Source organism: Homo sapiens, chromosome 7, assembly GCF_000001405.40.
Source record: "Homo sapiens chromosome 7, GRCh38.p14 Primary Assembly".
Taxonomy (NCBI): domain Eukaryota; kingdom Metazoa; phylum Chordata; class Mammalia; order Primates; family Hominidae; genus Homo; species Homo sapiens.
This window is the reverse complement of record NC_000007.14, coordinates 64,018,669-64,040,166: the sequence shown is the minus strand read 5'-3', so window position 1 is coordinate 64,040,166 and position 21,498 is coordinate 64,018,669. Positions and strand designations below refer to the sequence as shown.

The 21,498-nt window shown below is 43.5% G+C and overlaps 2 long non-coding RNA genes across 3 annotated transcripts; both read left to right on the top strand.

The window, feature by feature from the left end:
- Positions 1-555: 555 nt before the first annotated feature.
- Positions 556-8,100, top strand: LOC105375317 (uncharacterized). 2 transcript variants are annotated; one of them, XR_927572.3, is made up of 3 exons: positions 556-2,317; positions 3,677-3,766; positions 8,026-8,100. It is a non-coding gene; the product is annotated as an uncharacterized LOC105375317 (long non-coding RNA). The 2 variants fall into 2 exon arrangements; XR_002956506.2 differs by lacking the exon at positions 8,026-8,100 and having other exon boundaries at positions 3,677-4,521.
- Positions 8,101-10,064: 1,964 nt separating this feature from the next.
- Positions 10,065-15,751, top strand: LINC01005 (long intergenic non-protein coding RNA 1005). The gene is made up of 4 exons (NR_039987.1): positions 10,065-10,170; positions 10,806-10,881; positions 12,255-12,376; positions 13,163-15,751. It is a non-coding gene; the product is annotated as a long intergenic non-protein coding RNA 1005 (long non-coding RNA).
- Positions 15,752-21,498: the final 5,747 nt, after the last annotated feature.

The following is a 21,498-nucleotide window of genomic DNA, read 5'->3' as shown; positions in this document are numbered from 1 at the left end:
CTCCCTCTTCAAAAAATAACAACAATCTTCAAAGGAATACAACAGAATCCAGAGTCTTTGTAAGTATTATTTATAGTTTTCAAAATACAATTTTAAAATTTAAGAGACATGAGAAGAAACACAAAATGTAATTCATGCACAAGACGAAACACAGGCATTAGAAGCTATCCCCAAAACGTCCAAGATGTTGTTATCAGCAGTCAAGTATTTGAGAGCAGCCATTAAAACTATAGTCATGGGGTGAAGAAAAAACGTTCTCATAATGAATGAATACATGTGGAATCTCAGCAAGAAATGCACATTATTAAAAAGAACCAAATAGAAAGATAATGAAATTTTAAAATAGTACTTTTAGGTTGATTCATAGATTAGAAAAAGACAGAACAATAGAAATTACTGAATCTGAAAAAAAAGAGTAAAAAAAGTTTGAAGAAAATGGACAGTCTTACCAATAAATGCGGTACAAAAGTAACAACTAATAGCTGAAAACTATTGGTCAAAACCCCCAAGTTTTGTTTTTTTTGTTGTTTTTTTTTTTTGTTTTTTTTTGAGATGGAGTCTCACTCTGTTGCCCAGGCTGAAGTGCAGTGGTGCGATCTCAGCTCACTGCAAGCTCTGCCTTCCGGGTTGACACCATTCTCCTGCCTAGTCTCCTGAGTAGCTGGGACTACAGGTGCCCCTCACCACACACGACTAATTTTTTGTATTTTTAGTAGAGATGAGGTTTCACCATGTTAGCCAGGATGGTCTCGATCTCCTGACCTCGTGATTCGCCTGCCTCGGCCTCCCAAAGTGCTGGGATTACAGGCCAAAACCCCCAATTTTTATATCCAAGCAAAGTCAACAAATCCCAGAAAAAAAATCCAAGTAAAACCATACCAAGGCCATAGGCCATATTGTGATTTAAGAAACTGGCAGGACAGGGCTTTCAATTGACTTTCTATGATTTCTAATTTTTACTATTTATAATGATGGAAAATAGGTTATTCTTGAGAGTTTTTATCTTGGAGAAAGTCTCACATATCAGGCATAGATGACTAAGGGTTATTAAAGGCAGATGACTTTCTAGCCTTGTTTTAGAGTTTTAATTTCTTACTTTGGAAATAAATTTGTTTCTTACAAATCTTATAGTAAAAATGATTCTCCAGAAAGATGTGCCCAGGATATTCTCTCCTGCTGCATCCTCCCTGCAGAGAATTAAAGCTGTGTGTACTTCAATTTCGGAAATGTACAGTATGAATTACTTAGAGTTAATTTGAAAAACTAAAAGAAAAACATGGGATGAATTAAGATATTTAAGAATTAAGATATTACTGTGATGTTCCTTCAGCAAATTACTAAAAGTGGTTCCAGAGTGATATTTAAAAATGATTATTAAAAGAGTTTCTAAGGGAGCCCTATTCAGGGCAAAAAGACATTGTACATTACCTCAGTACACAAATATTCCTAATGTTTTGTGAAGGACCAAGGGTCCTGTTTTGTCCTATTGGCCCGTATTAACACTAAGACACCTGATTCCTGGGAACCAACCTGTGTGGGAGTCACAAAAGTGGTGGATGTGGCTCCCAAAATGGCTTATTTTGGACTCCGAAAATAAGAGAGGGGTCCCTTCTCTGTGAGGCTGAGTTTCCTGACTGTACGAAGGAGTCAGGCCTTTCCCCTGTGACGTTTTCTCCTCTTTATTACAGTGGCAGGAGCATCCCTGCGAGAGGCCTGACCCAGGTGTGTAGCCCAAGCAGCCAGCCCGGAAATCCAATGGGGTGTTCTTGGGGTGCAGAGGATTTGTGACAGTCCATACACAGAAAAAGGAAAAGGTGGCTTTGAAGAGGCAAGTGCAAAGATACCAGAGATGGGGTATTGTCATTTTAGGCAGTGAATTGACGGTTTCACTTACCAGGGAGCTCCCATCGTGAGCTCCCAAAAGGCCTAACAACTGCTAGGCCCACGGGTCATTAGCTCCACCTTTACGGAGAAGCTGCACTATGCATGTCAGAAGCGGGGTAGGCAGGGATGAGGGAAAGGACGGGATAAGGAAAGAAAAGATGTGCGCTGAGCTGAGCTGCGGGAGGGTAAACCTAACTACGTAACAATGAGCAGGCTGTGAGAGGCTCCTTGCCCCTTGCAGATTTGTGAAAAATCAAACTTCCGCCCAAGAAGCCGGCATTTCAGGTAGGGGCGATGATGTCACAATCACAGGTTGAGATCTGCTGCCCAGGCCATGCTTGCTCCCCGCAGGCAGGCGAGATTTCGGAACAGCCAGGACCTCCTCCGCATGGGGGAACCGCTCTAGACGCTCAGAGGGGCGGAGTTGAAACGGGTGCCATCGCCGTACATCCTGGGAGCTGTACTCTCTTAATCGCTCCTAGCCCCTTAGTGACAAAGCGACAGTATTATTTCGCAGGGCTGGGGGCGGGCGAAGCCCTGGGGACGCGCATCATGCTGGGAGTGGTAGTCTCTTTTTTTTTTTTTTTTTTTTGAGACGGAGTCTAGCTCTGTCGCCCAGGCTGGAGTGCAGTGGCGCGATCTCGGCTTACTGCAAGCTCCGCCTCCCGAGTTCACGTCATTCTCCTGCCTCAGCCTCCCGAGTAGCTGGGACTACTGGCGCCCGCCACCACGCCAGGCTAACTTTTTTGTATTTTTAGTAGAGACGGGGTTTCACCGTGTTAGCCACGATGGTCTCGATCTCCTAACCTCATGATCCGCCCGCCTCGGCTTCCCAAAGTGCTGGGGTTACAAGCGTGAGCCACCGCGCCTGGCCTGGGAGTGGTAGTCTCTTAACCGCTCCCAGCCCCTTGTTTGCAGGACTACAGGACTACAATCCCAGCATGCTCCGGGCTCGGGGTTGGGGCACAGCCATTAGAGAGAGAGAGGCAGGGCGCTGCGCACCTCGCCGGGCATGCGGGGCGTTGTAGTCTCTTAACGACTCCCGGCTCTTTGGTCGCCTGGCTGCAGGACTACAATTCCAGCAGGCACCGGGCTCAGTGGGAGGGGCAGGGTGGTGTGGACCTGGCAAAGCAGTGGTGCCCGCTCACCACCTGCTGCCTTTCTCTCCATGGGGAGTGAGTTTGGAGAGGGATATGAGGGATAAATCTGGGCTGGACAGTGAGAAAGGTGTGACTCTTCTAAGTACACCTCGCTTTTGCCTAAATCTGGCAGGTCCCACCTCCGACTGAGCAGCTCGGTTTCCTCTCTTTATCCTTACCCGCTGGTCTTTCCATGACATCGCGCCGCCTCCAGCCCAGGGAGCCGCCTGCTTTCCTAAAGTACTACGGAAACTGGCCTGATGTCTGTCTGAGACATTGTACATTGTGCCACTGGCCTCTGCTTACTCCAGGCAGAGCTCCAGTTCAGCAGCATTTGGGAGAAATTTGCTGCCTGGGCCGCCCGTAAACAACTTGAGCTTTGCAGTGGGTAACATGGGCTGTGGTTTGGTGAAAATGTCGACCTCACTGACCCCTTTTTCGTGGAAGTGAAAGTTGAGACATGAGGGACAGTAATTATTGGCACACTGGGATCTGCTAAAAGCAGAGGAGAAAGCCCCAATATTTCCAGGCATGTGTCTGGTGGGCCATTTTCACCTACCCATTTACGGATCTAGGCCTCCAAAAAATCAACCTAAACATGATGATTGTTTTGATATTTTACACGTGTAACCATGGGCCTCATCTCACCTTAGACCTGACTGGCCAGTGTCTCAAAGACGTGGATGGTGACCAGCTCTCTCCAGAACAGATGGCGCTCCAGCTTTGTGGGAGAAACTTTCAAGGTGTGGATCACTTGGAAGTCATTTGAAACCTATGAAGTTTAACATCTCTGCTTTGGATGGAATGCTCATCACCTACAGCAGTCAGGGATGTAACTAAACTTGCTGGGACTGATGTGTTGAAATTTTTTGTCTAGATAGTGGAAACATCCAGGAGCACTTCTGCTTCCATGTAGCCTCTTAATAATTGATGTCCCTAAAATCCTATGTCCTCAGAAACAGATACTTTCAGCCAGGGCAGTGGCTCAGGCCTGTAATCCCAGCACTTCGGGAGGCCAAGGTGGGTGGATCACCTGAGGCCAGGAGTTCGAGACCAGCTTGGCCAACATGGTGAAATCCTGTCTCTACTATAAATACAAAAATGAGCTGGGCATGGTGGCATGTGCCCATAATCTCAGCTACGTAGGAGGCTGAGGCAGGAGAGTTGCTTGAACCTGGAGGCAGAGGTTGCAGTGAGCAGAGATTGCACCACTGCACTCCAGCCTGGGCAACAGAAGGAAAAAAAAAAAAAAGGAAGGAAGAAAGTTACTTTCACAAAGTTGGTACCAGCTTTCTTGTTTTTATATCTAATCTGTAAAAATCTGGCTGTTAATCTACATGAAAGTAATAGTTCATTCATGTCACACTTCCAATAGTTTCTCATTTGTGATTTTTGAATGTGGTACACTGTCAAAAAAGGGAAAACATGATTGTGACCATTGAACTCTATTACTGTACTTGTGAAGCTTATAAAGAATTTACTACTTCAGGATTAATTACACCTGGGTTCATCGTGCCTTTGTAAAGAAAGGAAGAGAAACCATGTGTCATCTATGCAGGTGGCAAGATGAGGAAGTATAGGGAGACAACAGCAGAATACTAGGGCTTTGCCCTTTTTGTTTGTTTGTTTTTTGAGATGGAGTCTTGCTTTGTCATCCAGGCTGGAATGCAGTGGTGCAGTCTCGGCTTTCTGCAACCTCTGTCTCCTGGGTTCACGTGATTCTCCTGCCTTAGCCTCCTGAGTAGCTGGGATTATAGGTGCCCACCAACACACCTGGCTAATTTTTATATATTTAGTTGAGACAGGGTTTCACCATGTTGGCCAGGCTGATCTCAAACTCCTGACCTCAGATGATCCACCCGCCTCAGCCTCCCAAAGTGCTGGGATTACAGGCGTGAGCCACCGCCTCTGGCAGTCTCTGCTCTTTTTAACAGTAGGGCCTCTAGGGACGGTCTGTGTGGTAAAGTGCATGCATCCCTCCCCAGTCCCTCAGTATTCTCGCCCTAGTCCCTGTTCCCTCTTTAGGTAATGGTGTCTGATTACTCTTGCCCACAAGTGTCAAAAGGGAATGTTGTAATGTGAGCCTATCCATCATTTTAAAATGAGGATTAATGGAGAGGAGAGTCTTTGGACCTGTGTTTAGAAGCACTGATATTTGGTGTGTGCTGTCTAACGGCAGCTATCTGAGAAGATTGGTCCTGTTGCAGCCACAGCTGCTATGCATAGAGCAGAAGCTCCTTGCAATTTGGTGTCTTCTGGTTAGATTTTGTGGCTCTGACTCTCCTCTGCTCACCCACTCCTGGTAGTATCTGCTGGCTTGCCTGGTTTGTTCCACTTCTTTCCTGTTAGGCTGTTGTGTAACTGTATTTCACAGGGTCTTTAGGGATTCTACCCTCACCAGACTAGTCACTGGACACTGGCCATGTGCTTATCTTGCTGGAGCCCCTATGCTCATTCTCTCCAGTGGAGCTGTGAAGAATTCAACTTACTTGTCAGTCATCTCATCTGGGTATTGCTGGACTGTTTAGGAAGCAGGGAATCTTGTCTTTGGTCTCATTATTATTTCTGTTGTGTATTTTGAAGTCTGATAACTTTTTTTTTCTGAGATAGAGTCTTGCTCTGTTGCCCAGGCTGGAGTGCAGTGGCAGGATCTCGGCTCACTGCAACCTCTGCCTCCCAGGTTCAAGTGATTCTCCTGCCTCAGCCTCCCAGAGTAGCTAGGACTACAGGTGCCTGCCACCACCATGCCCGGATAATTTTTGTATTTTTGGTAGAGATGGGGTTTCCCCCATTTTGGCCAGGCTGGTCTCAAACTCGTGACCTCAGGTGATCCACCCATTTTGGCCTCCCAAAGTGCTAGGATTAAAGGCAGGAGCCACTGCGCCTGGCATCTGATACTATTTTATTAATGATGTGGACCCTTGCAGTAACAGCCACTTTTAAATATTAGTGAATTTAGGCTGGGCATGATGGCCCATGCCTGTGCCACTTCACTCCAGCCTGGGCGACAGAGCGAGACTCTGTCTGAAAGAAGAAAAAAAAAGATAGTGAATTTAACTCTGGCAACAACTTGATGAAGTAGGCATAGATCCCCATTATACAGGTGAGGAAACTGACACCCAGAGTGGTTGAGTCGTTTCATTAACACCACACAAGTTTTTGGTGCATTTCAAATTGTAACCTAGAAATCTTCCTCTAGGATATCTAAGCCTATCTAATATTCTACTTTGTTTCTCACTGCCAGAGTCCCCAAAAGTACAAATCTCATTCTGACTCCATTTTCTACTTGTTGATACAAAACTGGCAAAAAAATAGCCTCATGGTGAGGGAGAAAACTAGCTGGAGGGGGGCCTTCCCTTTTCTATTTCTTACCTGTTGTGGGAAGTCAGGGACCCCGAATGGAGGGACCTGCTGAAGCCGTGGCAGAAGAACATAAATTGTGAAGATTTCATGGATATTTATTAGTTCCCCTAATTAATACTTTTATAATTTCTTATGCCTGTCATTACTGCAATCTCTGAACGTAAATTGTGAAGATTTCATGGACATTTATCACTTCCCCAATCAATACACTTATAATTTCCTATGCCCGTCTTTAATCTCTTAATCCTGTCATCTTCGTAAGCTGAGGATGTATGTCGCCTCAGGACGCTGTAATGATTGCATTATCTGTACAGATTGTTTGTAAAACATGTGTGTTTGAACAATATGAAATCTGGGCACCTTGAAATATAACAGGATAACAGCAATTTTCAAGGAACAAGGGAGATAACCATAAGGTCTGACTGCCTGCGGGGCCAGGCAGAACAGAGTCATATTTCTCTTCTTGCAGAAAGTGAATAGGAGAAATATTGCTGAATTCTTTTCCCAGCAAGGAATAGCCCTGGGAAAGGAATGCATTCCCAGGGGGAGGTCTCTAAAATGGCCGCTCTGGGAGTGTCTGTCTTATGCGGTTGAAGATAAGGGATGAAATATGCCCGGGTCTCCTGCAGTGCCCTCAGGCTTGCTAGGATTAGGAAATTCTAGCCTGGCAAATTCTAGTCAGACTGGTTGTCTGGTCTCGAACTCTGCTTCCTGTTAAGATGTTTATCAAGACAATGCATGCCCAGTGGGACATGGAACCTCATCAGTAATTCTAATTTCACCCTGGCCTTGTGATCTCACTCTGCCCTTCTGCCCTTGTAATCTTTTATTGCCCCTTGAAGAATGTGATCTTTGTGATTTACTCCCTGTTCATACCCCCCTCCCCTTTTGAAATCCCTAATAAAAACTTGCTGGTTTTGTGGTTCAGGGGGCATCACGGAACCTGCTGACATGTGATATCACCCCTGGAGGCCCAGCTGTAAAATTTCTCTCTTTTATACTCTTTCTCTTTATTTCTCAGACCAGCTGACACTTAGGGAAAATAGAGAAGAACCTACACTAAAATATTGGGGGGCTGGTTCCCCTGATACTTACCCTTGATAATTGTTAGTTTTTTTGAGTGTGCTCAAGAACTGGCAGAAGCTGGCCAGTCCTCACCTGAAAAGTATATTATGTAAAGTTAATCCACTTACTTTTTACAGGTGTGATTTTTATATCCTTTTTTTTTTTTTTGAGGTGGATGGAGTCTTGCTCTTGTCGCCAAGGCTGGAATGCAATGCCGAGATCTTGGCTCACTGCAACCTCTGCCTCCCAGGTTCAAGAGATTCTCCTGGCTCAGCTGGGATTACAGGCACCTGCCATGATGCCCAGCCAATTTTTTGTATTTTTAGTAGAGACAGGATTTCATTATGTTGGCCAGGCTGGTCTTGAACTCCTGACCTCAGGTGATTCACCCATCTCAGTCCCCCAAAATGCTGGGTTTACAGGCATGAGCCACTGTGCCCAGCCTTATCCTAGTTATTTTTCTGGGTTTTCTTTTACAAGTTCCTGCTGTGCATTAAAATACAATGCAAATATTGATGAAAATAAAACTTTTTTCCTCCTACTAAATGGTAAAAACACTTTTTTTTTTTTCAAGACAGAGTCTTGCTCGTGTTGCCCAGGCTGGAGTGCAGTGGCACGACTGCAGCTCACTGCGACCACTGCCTCCCAGGTTCGAGTGATTCTTCTGCCTCAGCCTCCAGAGTAGCTGGGACTACAGGCACTCGCCACCATGCCTGGCTAATTTTCTGTATTTTTAGTAGAGACAGGGTTTCACCATATTATCCAGGCTGGTCTTGAACTCCTGACCTCAGGCGATCCATCTTCCTCAGCTCTGAGCTACCACACCCAGCCGAGGTGGGTGAAGTTCTGGGTTTTCTTATAAAATGTCACAGGAGATTATGACACAAATATTTTATAAAGCCTTTGGGTGGTATGAGCTGTGTCATAACACAGTCCAACAAGCAGGTGAGTTTGTGACTCTCATAGGCACATCCAGCCAACAATGGTATTATCATTCTTAAACCTAGACACAACCCACTGGTGAGGTTATAAACCTCACATATGGATGCAGACCACAGTTGGAATTGTTACTGTCATATGTGGATTTGGCCACAGGTCGAAGGGGAAGTCATTTCTTGACTAACTCACAGGCACAGTGTTGTCTCTTATACTTGGACCAAGCTAGTAGAAGAGATGTTGACTCTCATTGTTAGGATTAGGAAATGGGGATGATTCTGGGTTTTTCTACACACACAAATGTCACAAAAAATCACAACACTCATGCATACAGCATAATGCCCTATGGTGGTACAGAGAGTGTCAACACAGCCCAATACAAAGTTGAGACTTATTCTCATATGCACAGCCAGCTGACAGTAAGAATTGTCACCCACACACATGGACAGATCCCATTAGTGAGGTCCTGACTTTGCCTTGTGGACAGGGTTCACAGTTGAAATTGTGACTGTCATATGCAGATCTGACCACAGGTAAGATTGTGACTCATTTCTGGACCCAGCTCACAAACATGGTGATGACTCTCATACCTGGACCCAGGCAAGAGAAAATGTGTTGACTTCTGCCTGGGCTTAGGGTAACAGGTAAGATCTTAGAGCCATACAAACAAAGTTCACAGAGCAGAATTCCACTCTCAAGCATATTATGTGAAAATCTCAGATGGTACAGAGAGTGTCATAACACAGCCAGAAACACAGAGGAAATTGTGAATCTCCTATGCATACCCAGCCAACAATAAGGATGGTCACTCTCCCATATAGACACAGCTCACTGTTGAGGTTCTGAATCTCACGCCCAGAGGCAATGAAAAGTTGAAAGTTTGACTCACGTACATGCATCTGGTCAACAGGTAGGATAGTGACTCTGAGACCAAGATTCAGCACCCTGGTGAGGCTGTGCCTATCTTATGGGAACACTGTTTGCAGTGGAGATAGAGCTCTCATGGACGGATCCTGTCCAATGTTAAGACTGTGTCTCGTGTATTTGGATGCAACTCACAAGAGGTGTTGACTGTCAGACCTAAAGCTGGGAAATATGTAGAACTGTGAAATTTATTCCTGGTCCTTCCCGCAGGTGTGATTGTGGCGTATACTTTCACACAGCACCTAATTTATTTTACTAATTTGCTTGGGCCCAGCCAACAGTTGGGACTGTGACATATACCTGGATCAAGTACCTAGGTGATGTAACTCTCCAGCCTGGGCCTTACCACAGGGTGCATTGTAACATATCTTTGGACTTTTCACCTATGTGATGTGACTCTACTTTCTTGCCTCATCTTGGCCTCCATTGGGAATTGTGACATATTGCTGGGCCCAATACCTAAGTTATGTGACTCTTCTTCGCTGCTTGTGCACTTAGAAGGGATTGTGACATATTGCTGGGCCAAGAACCTAGGTGGTGTGACTCTCCTGTCTTCAGGGGAAATTGTGACATGACTCTGGGAAATTTTCCCTGCCTTCAGGGGAAATTGTGATATGTCTCTGGGTTTATTACCTAAGTGATGTGACTCTCATCGCCTGTGTGGGCAAGCCCAAAGGGGTCATTGTGACCTATCTCTGGGCACATCACAGAAGTGGTATGGCTTTTCTCTCATTTCTGGACCCTGGTCTCAGTAGGGACTGTGACATATCACTGGGCCTATAACCTAGGTAATGTGACTCTCCTTTTCTTCCTGTGTTCTGTCCCAGTGAAGATTATGACAAATTTCTGGGCCAGTCAGGTATGTGGTATGACTCTGTGCTCTTTCCTGGGCCCCGCTAGCAGGGAGCATTGTGACATATTGCCAGGCTCAGCACCTAGGTAATGTGACTCTTCTTGCAGCCTGGGTTCTACATACAGAAGGGATTGTGACATATTGCTCAACCAAGAACTCAGATGATGTGACTCTCCTGCCTGTGCCCTGAGTACAGTGGGCATTGTGACATATCACTGGGTCTAGCACCCAGGTGATGTGACTTTAATGCCTTGTTCCTGTCCAAATGTAAAATTGTGGCATATACCTGGGTCCAGCTCAGAGGCACAAGAATGACTCTCTTACCTGGACACAGCCAGTGGGAGATATTTTGATTTCTGTAGCCAGGCTTAGGCCACAGGTAATGTCCTGGATCTCTTACATGTATAAAGTTCACAGAACATTACAACACTCAGGATGATCACAGGAAGCCCTAGAGCGATACAGAGAGTTTCTAACAGGGCCTAGCTAACAGCTGAGATTGTGACTCTCGTATGCAGACCCAGCCGACAGGCTCTTCATTCTTACACATAAACAGAGCCTACGAATGAGGCACTTAATCTCACACATAAAAACAGTTGCAAGTTGGATTTGTTACTCTCATATGTGGATCTGGTTTCCAGGTGGTTTGGTGACTCTCAAACCATGATTCAGCAGACCTGTGAGGCTGTGAGTTCCCTATCAGAACACAATCTGCAGGTGAGATTGGGGCTGTTGTGCATGGATTTTGTGCATTGTTGAGACTGTAACTCCTTTACTTGAACCCCACTCACAGGAGGGGTTGCCTCTCATACATGAAGCCAGGACTCGTGTGAAACTGTGAAACTCATTTCTGTACATTCCCAAGTGTGTGATTGGGAAATATACCTTTGCCCAGAACCTGAGTGATCTGACTCTTTCCCAGGCCCAGCCCACAGATAAAATTGTGACATATACCTGGACCACCCACCTAAATAATGTGAAACTCCTTCCTGGGCCCTGCCTGCCAAGGGCATTTTTACATTTCAGTGTGACCAGCAACCACCCAGGTGCTGTGACTCTCCTGCCTGGTACCTGCCTACAAAGAGCATTGTGACTTATTTCTGGGTTCATTATGTAGGTGATGTGACTTCATTCTACTGCTTTGGCTCTGTGCTTAGAGTGCATTGTGACATTTAGCTGGGTACTGCACCCACATAATGTGACTCTCCTGACTGAGTTCTTCCTACAGGAAGCGTTGGAACCTATCACTTAGCCTAGCATCTAGGTGATGTGATTCTCCTCTCTTGCCTGGTTCCTGCCCACTGGAGAGATTGTGACCCATTGCTGAGCCCAGGGCCAAGGTGATGTCACTCTCCTGCCTTGGCTGTGCCCATGGGGGCCACTGTGACACCTGTCTAGGCTAATAACTTAAGTGAAGCGAGTCTCCTTTCCTGCCTAAGCTCTGCCTACAGGGGGGATTTTGATATATCACTGGGCCCAACAGCCAGGTGATGTGACTCTTCTGCCAGGGTACTGCCTACAAGGGGGATTGTGACATATCTCTGGACCAGCACCCAAGTGATGTGTCTTTTCTGGTCTCTCCCTCTCCACAGGTTGTATTGTGCCATATATCTGTGTCCAAATTATAAGCACAATGATGAATCTTTTACTGGGAGTCAAGATATGTGCAGGATGGTGAAACTTATCACTGGACCTTTCCACAGTGTTATTGTCACATATACCTTTGTCCAACATGTGAGTGATTTGACTCTGCAGACTGGGTCCAGTTCACAAACAAAATTGTGCCATATACCTGGGCCAAGAACCTAATAGGTATGACTCATGTGCCTGGGCCCTGCCTTCAGAAAGATAGTGACATTACACTGCACCCAGCACCTAAGAGGTGTGATTCTCTTCTTCTACATGGGGCCTGCCCACAGCAAGACTTGTGACATATCAATGGGTGATGTGACTATCATTTTTCTTCCTGGGCCCTGCCCACATGGATAATTGTAACATATCACTGGCCCCAACTATTAGGTGATGTGACTCTCTTGTCTGGGATTTGTCAACAAAGGACATTGTGACATATTTCCTTTTTATTTTCCCAGATGGAGTCTTGCTCTGTTGCCCAGGCTGGAATGCAATGATGCAATCTCAGCTCACTGCAACCTCCATCTCCCAGATTCAAGTGGTTCTCCTGCCTCAGCCTCCCAAGTAGTTGGGACTACAGGTATGCACCACCACGCCTAGCTAATTTTTTTGTATTTTTAGTAGAGACGGGATTTCACCATGTTGTCCAGGCTGGTCTTGAACTCCTGACCTCAATGATCTGCCATCCTCAGCCTCCCAAAGTGCTGGGATTACAGGTGTGAGCCCCCGTGCCTGGTGTGACATATTTCTAAGTTCAGCACCCAAGTGCTGTGACTCTCCTGACTGGGCCCTCCCCACGAGGAAAATTGTGACATATCCCTGGGCCCAGTCCTTAGGCCACATGACCCTCTTTTTTTACCTGGGCCCAGCCCGCAAAAGTAATTGTGACATATCAGTGGGCCCAGCATCCAAGAAATATTATTCTTCTGCCTAGGCCCTGCCAACAGAAATATCCCTGCTTTTTTCATATCCCTGCTTCAGCACCAAGTGATGTAACATGTTTTCTGGTTCACACCCACAGGTGTGATTTTGACATATACCTTTTCCTAGCACCTGAGCGATTTGCCTCTTTAGCCTGGGCTAATCCCACAAATAGAATTGTGACATATACCTGGCACAGGCACCTAGGTGATGTAACTCTTGCCTTGGTGCTGTCCTCAGAGGGGATTGTAATATATCACCGGGCCCAGCACCTGGTGATGTGGCTCATGTCGTTTTCCCTGGGCCCTGCCCCAGTGGGGATTGTAAATATCTCTGGGCCCTATATTCATGTGATGTGACTCTCCTGCCTGGGCCCTGCCCACAGAGGCACTGTGACATCTCTGGGCCCATCCCTTAGGTGGTGTAATTCTCCTTTTGTGCCCAGGTGCTGCCTTCAGGAGGGATTATGACATATGCCTGGACCAAACACCTGGATGACGTGACACTCCTGCATGAGCCTTGCCCTAAGGGGATATTTTTACATGTTGGTGAACTCAGCATCTAGGTGATGTGACTCTACTCTTCTGCCTGGGCCCTGCCCACAGAGGGCATTGGAACATTTCACTTGGCTCAGCACCAAGAAGATGTTACTCTCCTACCTGGACCTCTCCCACAGGGGACACCTAGATGATATGATTTTTCTTCCTGGTTCCTGCCCAGACTTCAAATTGTGATGTATATCTGGGCCCAAAACACAGGTAAGGTAATAACTCTCATAGCTAGACCAAGACAATAGAGAGATTTTGACTTTTGTAGCTAGGCTTAGAACAATGGGTACATATTCCTGGCCCAGCTCCCAGGTGATATGACCCTCCTACCTAGTTAGTGCTCACAGGTGTGATTGTTACCTATGTTTGGACTCAGTTCATTGTGAGCATTGTGATCACTCATACCTGGACCTAGCCACAAAAAAATATGTTGACTCTTATACCTCAAAATAGGAGACTCAACCCACAAGAGGTGTTGACTCTTACACCTTTTGCTGGAAAATGTCCAGGATTGTGAATTTCTGCTATTGATTGGGTCCAGGTATGAGTTTCATTGCTGTGCCTGAGCTGAGTTCAAAATAAGTCACTATCTCACCTGTGGCTGCATCTACATATGACAGTCACAATTCCAAGTCTGGATTGCATTTGTGTATGAGACTTAGGACCTCACCAGTAAGCACTGTCTATGTGTGAGGGTGACAATTCTATCAGCTGGAAGTGCATATGAGAGTCACAATGTCACCTTTGTTCTTGGTCCTGTTATGACATTGTATCACTTGAAGGCTTTATCCAGACCCAGGACCTTGCCTGTTGCCCTAAGCCTAGATATCAGAGTCAAAATCTGTTCTCTTAGCTGGATCCAGGTATGAGAGTCAACATCTCACCAGTGAGCTGTGACCATGTATATGTCACAATTTCACCTGTGGGCAGGAACCAGACATGAGAGTCATATCACTTGGGTGCTGGGTAAGTGATACATTACAATTCTTACTTTGGGCAGGGTCCAGGCAACAGAGGAGAGACACATCACCTATATGATTGGCCCAGCGATGGGTGAAAATCCTCTCTGAGAGCAGGGCCCATTCAGGAGAGTCATATCACCTAGCTGCTTGGCCAAGTGAAATATCACAATGCACCCTTTGCACAGGGCCAATACAGGACAGTTACATCACCAGGGAGCTGGGTCCAGCTATATGTCACAATTCCTTTTGTGGAAAGTGTCCAGGCAGAAAAGCAGAGTCACATCACCTAGCCAGTGGGCCCAGAGAGATGCCACAATGCCATTTGTAGGCTGGGCCCTGGGAGAAGAATAACATCACCCAGTTCTGGGCCCAGCAATATGTTGTGATCCCAACTGGAAAAAGTTTCCAGACAAGAGAGGAGAATCACATCATCATGATGATAAGCCAAGAGATTTCACAATCCCCCCCTCTGCACATGTCCCAGGCAGAAGACCTGAATTACCTTTTTACTTAGGCCAGTAATGTCACAGTGCTTCCTCAGGGCAGGGCACAAACAAGATAGGACAGTCACATCATTAAGTGCTAGACTTAATGCTAGATATGTCATAACCTTACTTGTGGGCAGGATCCAGGAAGGAGAGATTTATGTCACCTAGGTGCTCAGTAAAGAGATATATTACAATTACAATTCCTTTGAGGGAAGTGGCCAGGCAAAATAGTCACATCACCTAGGTGCTTGGCCCAGGTATAAGTCACAAGATATCTGTGTGTTGAGCCCAGAAGGACTATCAAATTACGAAGTTTCTACGTAGAAGTGCATGTCACAGACACCTGCAGGAAGGCCCAGGAATGAGACTCCCAATTCCACACATTTTCCCACTCCAAGTGTAAGAGTCAACAACTCCTGAGACTTAGGCCCAAGTACATGAGTCACAATCTCAACAGTGGATTGCATCCTGCCATGAGAGCCCCAATCCCTTCTCTAAGCTGTGTTCCAGTAGAGGAGTCACAACATCAATGGTGTGCTGAATCCTGGTTGGAGAGTTCCCACTTCACCTGTGGACTGGATCTGTATATGAGAGTCTCAATTCCAGCTCTCAACTGCCCCTGGGTGTGAGATTCAGGACCTCAATTGTGAGCTGTGTACACATGGACATGTAACAATTTCTACTTTTGGCTGTGTGTTCATACAAGACTCAATCTCATCTGTGTTCTCGGCCCTGTTATGACACTCTTTGTACCACCCATGGGATTTATTCAATACGCATGGGTGTCATAATCCTCTGTGATCTTCATACAAGTAGAAGACCCAGGACCTTACCCATGGCCCTAGGCCTATCTATGAGAATTGACATTTTTCCTCACATTTTTAATTTTAACAAATAAGTTATTCTCCTGTCAGTTCAGATTCATCAGGACATTGAATCATATTCAGAAGAATTAAAACTGAAAGACTAATAGGTTTGTTAAAGCAATGCAGGTTGTCATACTAATAAACCCTAAAATTTCAAAGGCTTAGCAAAATAATACATTTTCTGCTTACATCACCATCCCCTTTGGCTTATTTCTGGTTAAGAGAACTTCTTTGTGATTATTCGGAGATTAGATTTTTTTAAAATTTCCTATCTGCACTCTCTCTTTCTTCAGCCAATAGATGAAAAAAGATGCAAAGAAGACACATTTGCTTTTTATGCACACATCACTTCCAGTCACTATGTTGAGCAGAGTCAGTGTGAGGACAATTGAGAATAGCAGTTTTCTGGCAGGACAGCCACTTCTCAGCAGAAGATGACACAATAAAAGTATAAATCTTTCATGGGAGGCTCACATATTTTCAGCAAATTAAGCATATGCATGAATAAAATTCTTGTGGTAAAATAAAGATGCATTTTGTTGATTCCTATGGAGCTCAGGTAATATTGGATAAAAAGCAAAAAAATTATTTGAAATAGTAATATTGTGAATGAAGTTATTCTGTCAATAGAATTAAAAATATTTTTATCTCATACTAGTCATCTTATCTATAGTTGTACAATATCAAATGCTACTTTTTATTCACAATTGTACTTCATATAATTATTCCATGTATATCATCCTTCTTCACTGTTTCAATGCCTTCTGCACTTCACATCAGTGAAAAACAAGCCAGCTAATGCCAGGAAATGGGTGTTTTGCTAGTGCTACTTTAAGAGTAATGATGAAGAGCACTTGTCTGAATTGTTCCCATGTGGCAAACACTGTGATTTGGCCCAAAGTACACACATTTCTTATGTACCTCTAAATTTACTGATGAAATAAAATTCTTAGCTAACATCATCTCATTCAAATATGTTTTATGAAATTTGGTTGACATTTCAGTGTCTCTGACTTAAATGGAATATTGAAAATGTCTATGAATCCAAACAGAGTGTTATACATGAGCAATCTTTTACTAAAAGCCTTTCTGAGGCAGAGTAAGATTCATAAAATTTCTTTATAATATAGAAGAAATGTGTTACCTATGTTTCCAGTAATCAACTCCGAACACTGAGCATCTCAGTTCCCAGTATTCACCCTGAGATATTCAGGAAAAATTGGTATCTCTGTAAGGAGACAGAAAAAGGTGTTTGGGGGAGGGTCACAATATTGCACGTAAATGCTTTCTGCAAGCACCTCTTAGGATCTTAATCTAATTGGTCTATCATTGGCATGGCTAGACAGTTACTGAATGTAGTCATACTATTTTGTTTTTTGCAGCCAATGACATCTGTTACCTATAACTTTTATACAATAACTTGCTCAGCTGAAACATGAATCTTTTGTTAATTTACCCTAAATTGAGAGACTAGATTTGCAATTTCCAATCTTTCAATGTTAAAGCAAATCAGAGAAGAGTAATGTGTGTATGTGGTATGCATTTTCTTGCCTAATTATCAAAATTCTTCTCATATTGAATTGCACACTCTAGGCAGCCACCTTAAAAATAGTCCCTCCTACTTTTTTTAGCCAGGATATTAGATTTCAAAAGGTCAAGGACTTAATAATTGGGCAAAGACAAAACCTTGCCTTTGCTTCTTGACCATTTCAAAGAGCATGGTAATTGTGCCAAGCCATTGAAAGATGTGGTTCTGATGACTTTTATTTCATTTCAAATGTTTTCTCTAATTTTTAGTCTTATTGCATTAATCTAAAAGAGAAACTACCTACATAACAATTTATGCATTCAAGAAATATTCATGTTAAGGTGTTCAAAGTTCAATATTGTATTACAGAATAGTAGAATTCTCTAAAATTAGAAAGTCAGATTATTATTATTAATAAATTCATTTTTTTTCAACATTTTCCAATGTTGAAATTAAATAATTGGGTATGCTTTTTCAGGATAAGTTCAATTCTAGGAGGACACTCAATGGTCTGCCTGGTATTTTTGTCATGAATGTAAAACTGAGTTAACAGAATGGAGCAGAAATGCTAATTTAATCAGAATGAGAATGAATTCAGCCTTATTGGTAGACTGTTGGTAGACTATTGGTATCCCAGAGGCTGATCATTTACTTCGGCTGTGTAAACATTGCTTCCTAATGCCAGTGAGCCCTTTCAACCAAGTTGCCTTTGTTTCCCATTGATGTGGTCATGTTCTGGTCTCTGTTTTTCTTAAGCTGTCCCAGATGAGGAGTGATTATTTCTTGTATTAATAAGATCTCTTCTTTTTCCTCTGCCATGAGATCCTCCTATTCTTCCTTCTGAAAGTAACATGTTGAAGGCAAAAATAGAGACAATATACAAATATATCCCTTGCCATGTGGCCACCATAAGCAGCTTACAACCTGGCTTACCTAGAAGTTTGATTAATTTCAGGGAAGCAGGGGTGTTTTTCTATGATGTGCTCTTTTTCTTAAAAACATGTCTGATTAAGTTTGGTGTAATAAAGATAATCTCTCTTATGATAAACAGAAAGCCAATACCTTTGTAACCTAATTACATGAATAATGTCCCACCACAGTCACACACATTTTCTCACACTCAGGAGAAAATGATACACAGCAGGTGTGCACTGAAGTGGGAACCTGAGGGTCATCTGAGAATTCTGCCTCTCCACCTGAATAGATTTCTAAAATAGCCTTTCAGTTGCCTTTGTTGTCTAAGTAAACACATATATCATCTGCAAATAATAATTAATTCATCTGCTTTTCAATTTTATTCATTAAGTATTTATCTTTTTCTGGCTTATATGAAGTATTTCTTATTTATAATATACATTCACATATATACATATATAACAATACAAATGTATCCATTTTCATTTTTGTTAAATTTTTAAGAATGGATGTTAAAGGTAACTTCTTTTCTGTTTGAAAGGGTTTTTATTGTTGTATTCAAGAGCATTATCTCTGGAGTCAAAGTTGCTTGTGTTTTAATACTGGCTCTGCTATTGTGAGCAAATTATTTCTCTGGCTCTTTTTCTTTCTTTGTAAATTGAGGACAATAATACCTTTGTTATTAAGTTACTGTGTCTATTAGTCCATTCTCACACTGCTATAAAGACACACCCAAGACTAGGTAAATTAAAAAGGAAAGAGGTTAATTTGACTCACAGATAAGCATGACTGGGGAGGCCTCAAGAACCTTACAATAATGGCAGAAGTTGAAGGAGAAGCAGGTATATTTTTCACTAGGTGAAGGAAAGCAGGAAAAATGACCACTTATAAAACCATCCAATCTCATGAGAACTCACTCAGTATCACAAGAACACCATGAGTATCATTCCGCCCCTGGCCCCTTCCAAATCTCATGCCCTTTTCATATTTCAAAACCAAACATGCTTTCCCAACAATCTCCCACAGTCTTATCTCATTTTAGCATTAACCCAAAAGTCTAACTCCAAAGTCCAATCTGAGAAAAGTCCCTGCTACCTATGAGCTTGTAAATCAAAAGCAAGTTAGTAACTTCCAAGATACAATGGGGGTACAGGAATTAGATAAACTCTTTCAAATGGAGGAAATTGGCCAGAACCAAGGAGGTACAGGCCCCATGCAAGCTTGAATTCCAATGGGGCAGTAATTAAATCTTAAAGCTCTGGGATGATGTCATTTGACTTCATGTCCCACTTCTGGGCCATGCTGATGCAAGGGGTGGGCCCTCATGGCCTTAGGCAACTCCTTTATGGACTGGAATTGCGTGCCTGTGGCTTTTCCAGGTGCACAGTACAAGCTCATGGAGGATCTGTCATTCTGGGGTCTAGAGTATAGTGGCCTTCTCACAACTCCAGTTGGCAGCTTCAGTGGGGACTCTGCATGAGGGCTCCAATCCCACATTTCCCTTCTGCATTGCCCTATTACAGGTTCTCCATGAGGGCTCTGCCCCTGTAGAAGACTTCTGCCTGAACATCCAGGCATTTTTATACATCTTCTGAAATCTAGGCAGAGGTTCCCAGAGCTCAACTCTTGTCTTATGTTCACTCACATGCCCAACACCACATGGAAGCCACCCAAGGCTTGAGGATTGCACTTTCTGAAGAAATAACCCAAGCTGTACCTTGGCCCCTTTTAGCCACAGCTGGATCTGGAGCAGCTGGGATGCAGGACACCTAGTCCCAAGACTTCATAGAGCAGTGGGGCCCTGGGCCTCAACCATGAAACCATTGTTGCCTCCTAGGGCTCCTGGCCTGTGATGGAAGGACCTGCCTCAGATCTTTGACATGATCTGAAGACATTTTCCCCATTGTTTTGTGTATTAACATTCAGTTCCTCTTTACTGCTGCAAATTTCTGCAGTGGCTTCAATTTCTTTTCAAAAAATTGGGTTTTATTTTCTACTTCATGGTCAGGCTTCAAATTTCCCAAACTTTTATGTTCTGCTTCCATTTTAAACATAAGTTTCTCATCTCTATCTGAGACCACCTCAGCCTGGACTTTATCATCCATATCACTATTAGCATTTTGGTCAAAAGCATTCAACAAGTCTCCAGGAAGTTCCAAACGTTCCCACATCTTTCTGTGTTTTTCTGAGCTCTCTAAACTGTTTCAACCTCTGCCTATTACCCATTTCCAAAGTCACTTCCACATTTTCAATTATCTTTATAGCAGTGCCCCAAACTCCCAGTATTAATTTTCTGTATTAGTCTGTTTTCACACTACTATAAAGACACTACCAGAGAATGGGTAATTTATTCAGAAAGGAGGTTTAATTTACTCACAATTCTGCATGGCTGGGGAGGTCTCAGGAAACCTACAATTATGGTGGAAGGCAAAGGAGAAGCAAGCACCTTCTTCACTAGGCAGCAGGAGGGAAAGCAGGAAAAACCACCACTTATAAAACCATTAGATCTTTCAGAACTCACTATCATGAGAACAGCATGGGGGAAAATTACCCCCATGTTCCAATCACCTCCCACCAAGTCCCTCCCTTGACACATGGGGATTACAATTTGAGATAAGATTTGGGTGGGATAAGATTTTACAGTAACGAATTCAATATAAGCCACAGAATATAGATTTATTTTGAGAATCTCTAAGGTTTCCAGGTTTCTTGTTAATTACCCACCTTATTAAAATAAACTTTTTTGTTTCAATATTGTTCCTCTGTTCTGAAAATGCAAACAAAGTCACACACAAACACACTCACTTGCTATATAACTTTTTTATACTTAAGGTACATCTTTTTTTTTTTTTTAAATGGTGTCTCGCTCTGTCACCCAGGGTGGAGTGCAGTGGTGCCATCTTGGCTCACTGCAACCTCTGCTTCCCAGGTTCAAGCAATTCTCCTGCCTCAGCCTCCCTAGTAGCTGGGAATACAGGAACGCATCACCACACCCAGCTAATTTTTTGTATTTTTAGTAGAGATGGGGTTTCACCATGTTGGCCAGGCTGGTCTTGAACTCCTGACCTCAAATTATCTGACCACTTTGGCCTCCCAAAGTGCTGAGATTACAGGCATAAGCCACTGCACCCGGCTGGTACATCTTTAGAGTAATACATTTGTATATGTAACTCTATGTAAATAAAAACTAAAAGCCTGTTTTTGTTTGTCAGCAGAGAGGCCACACGTACAAAAAATATATAAAACAAATTTTAAAAAATATTTAATCAAGACTCAGAAATGTATGGATATTAATTATACTCATATAATTTTTATGATCATAAATTGACCCTGTGGTTAATAATTCAATTGCACATATTGAAATGACTAAAACTATATAATGGGAATGTTTGTAATACAAAGCATAAATACGTGCTTGAGGTAATGAATACTTCATATACCCTGCTGTGATAATTAAATAATGTATGCCTGTGT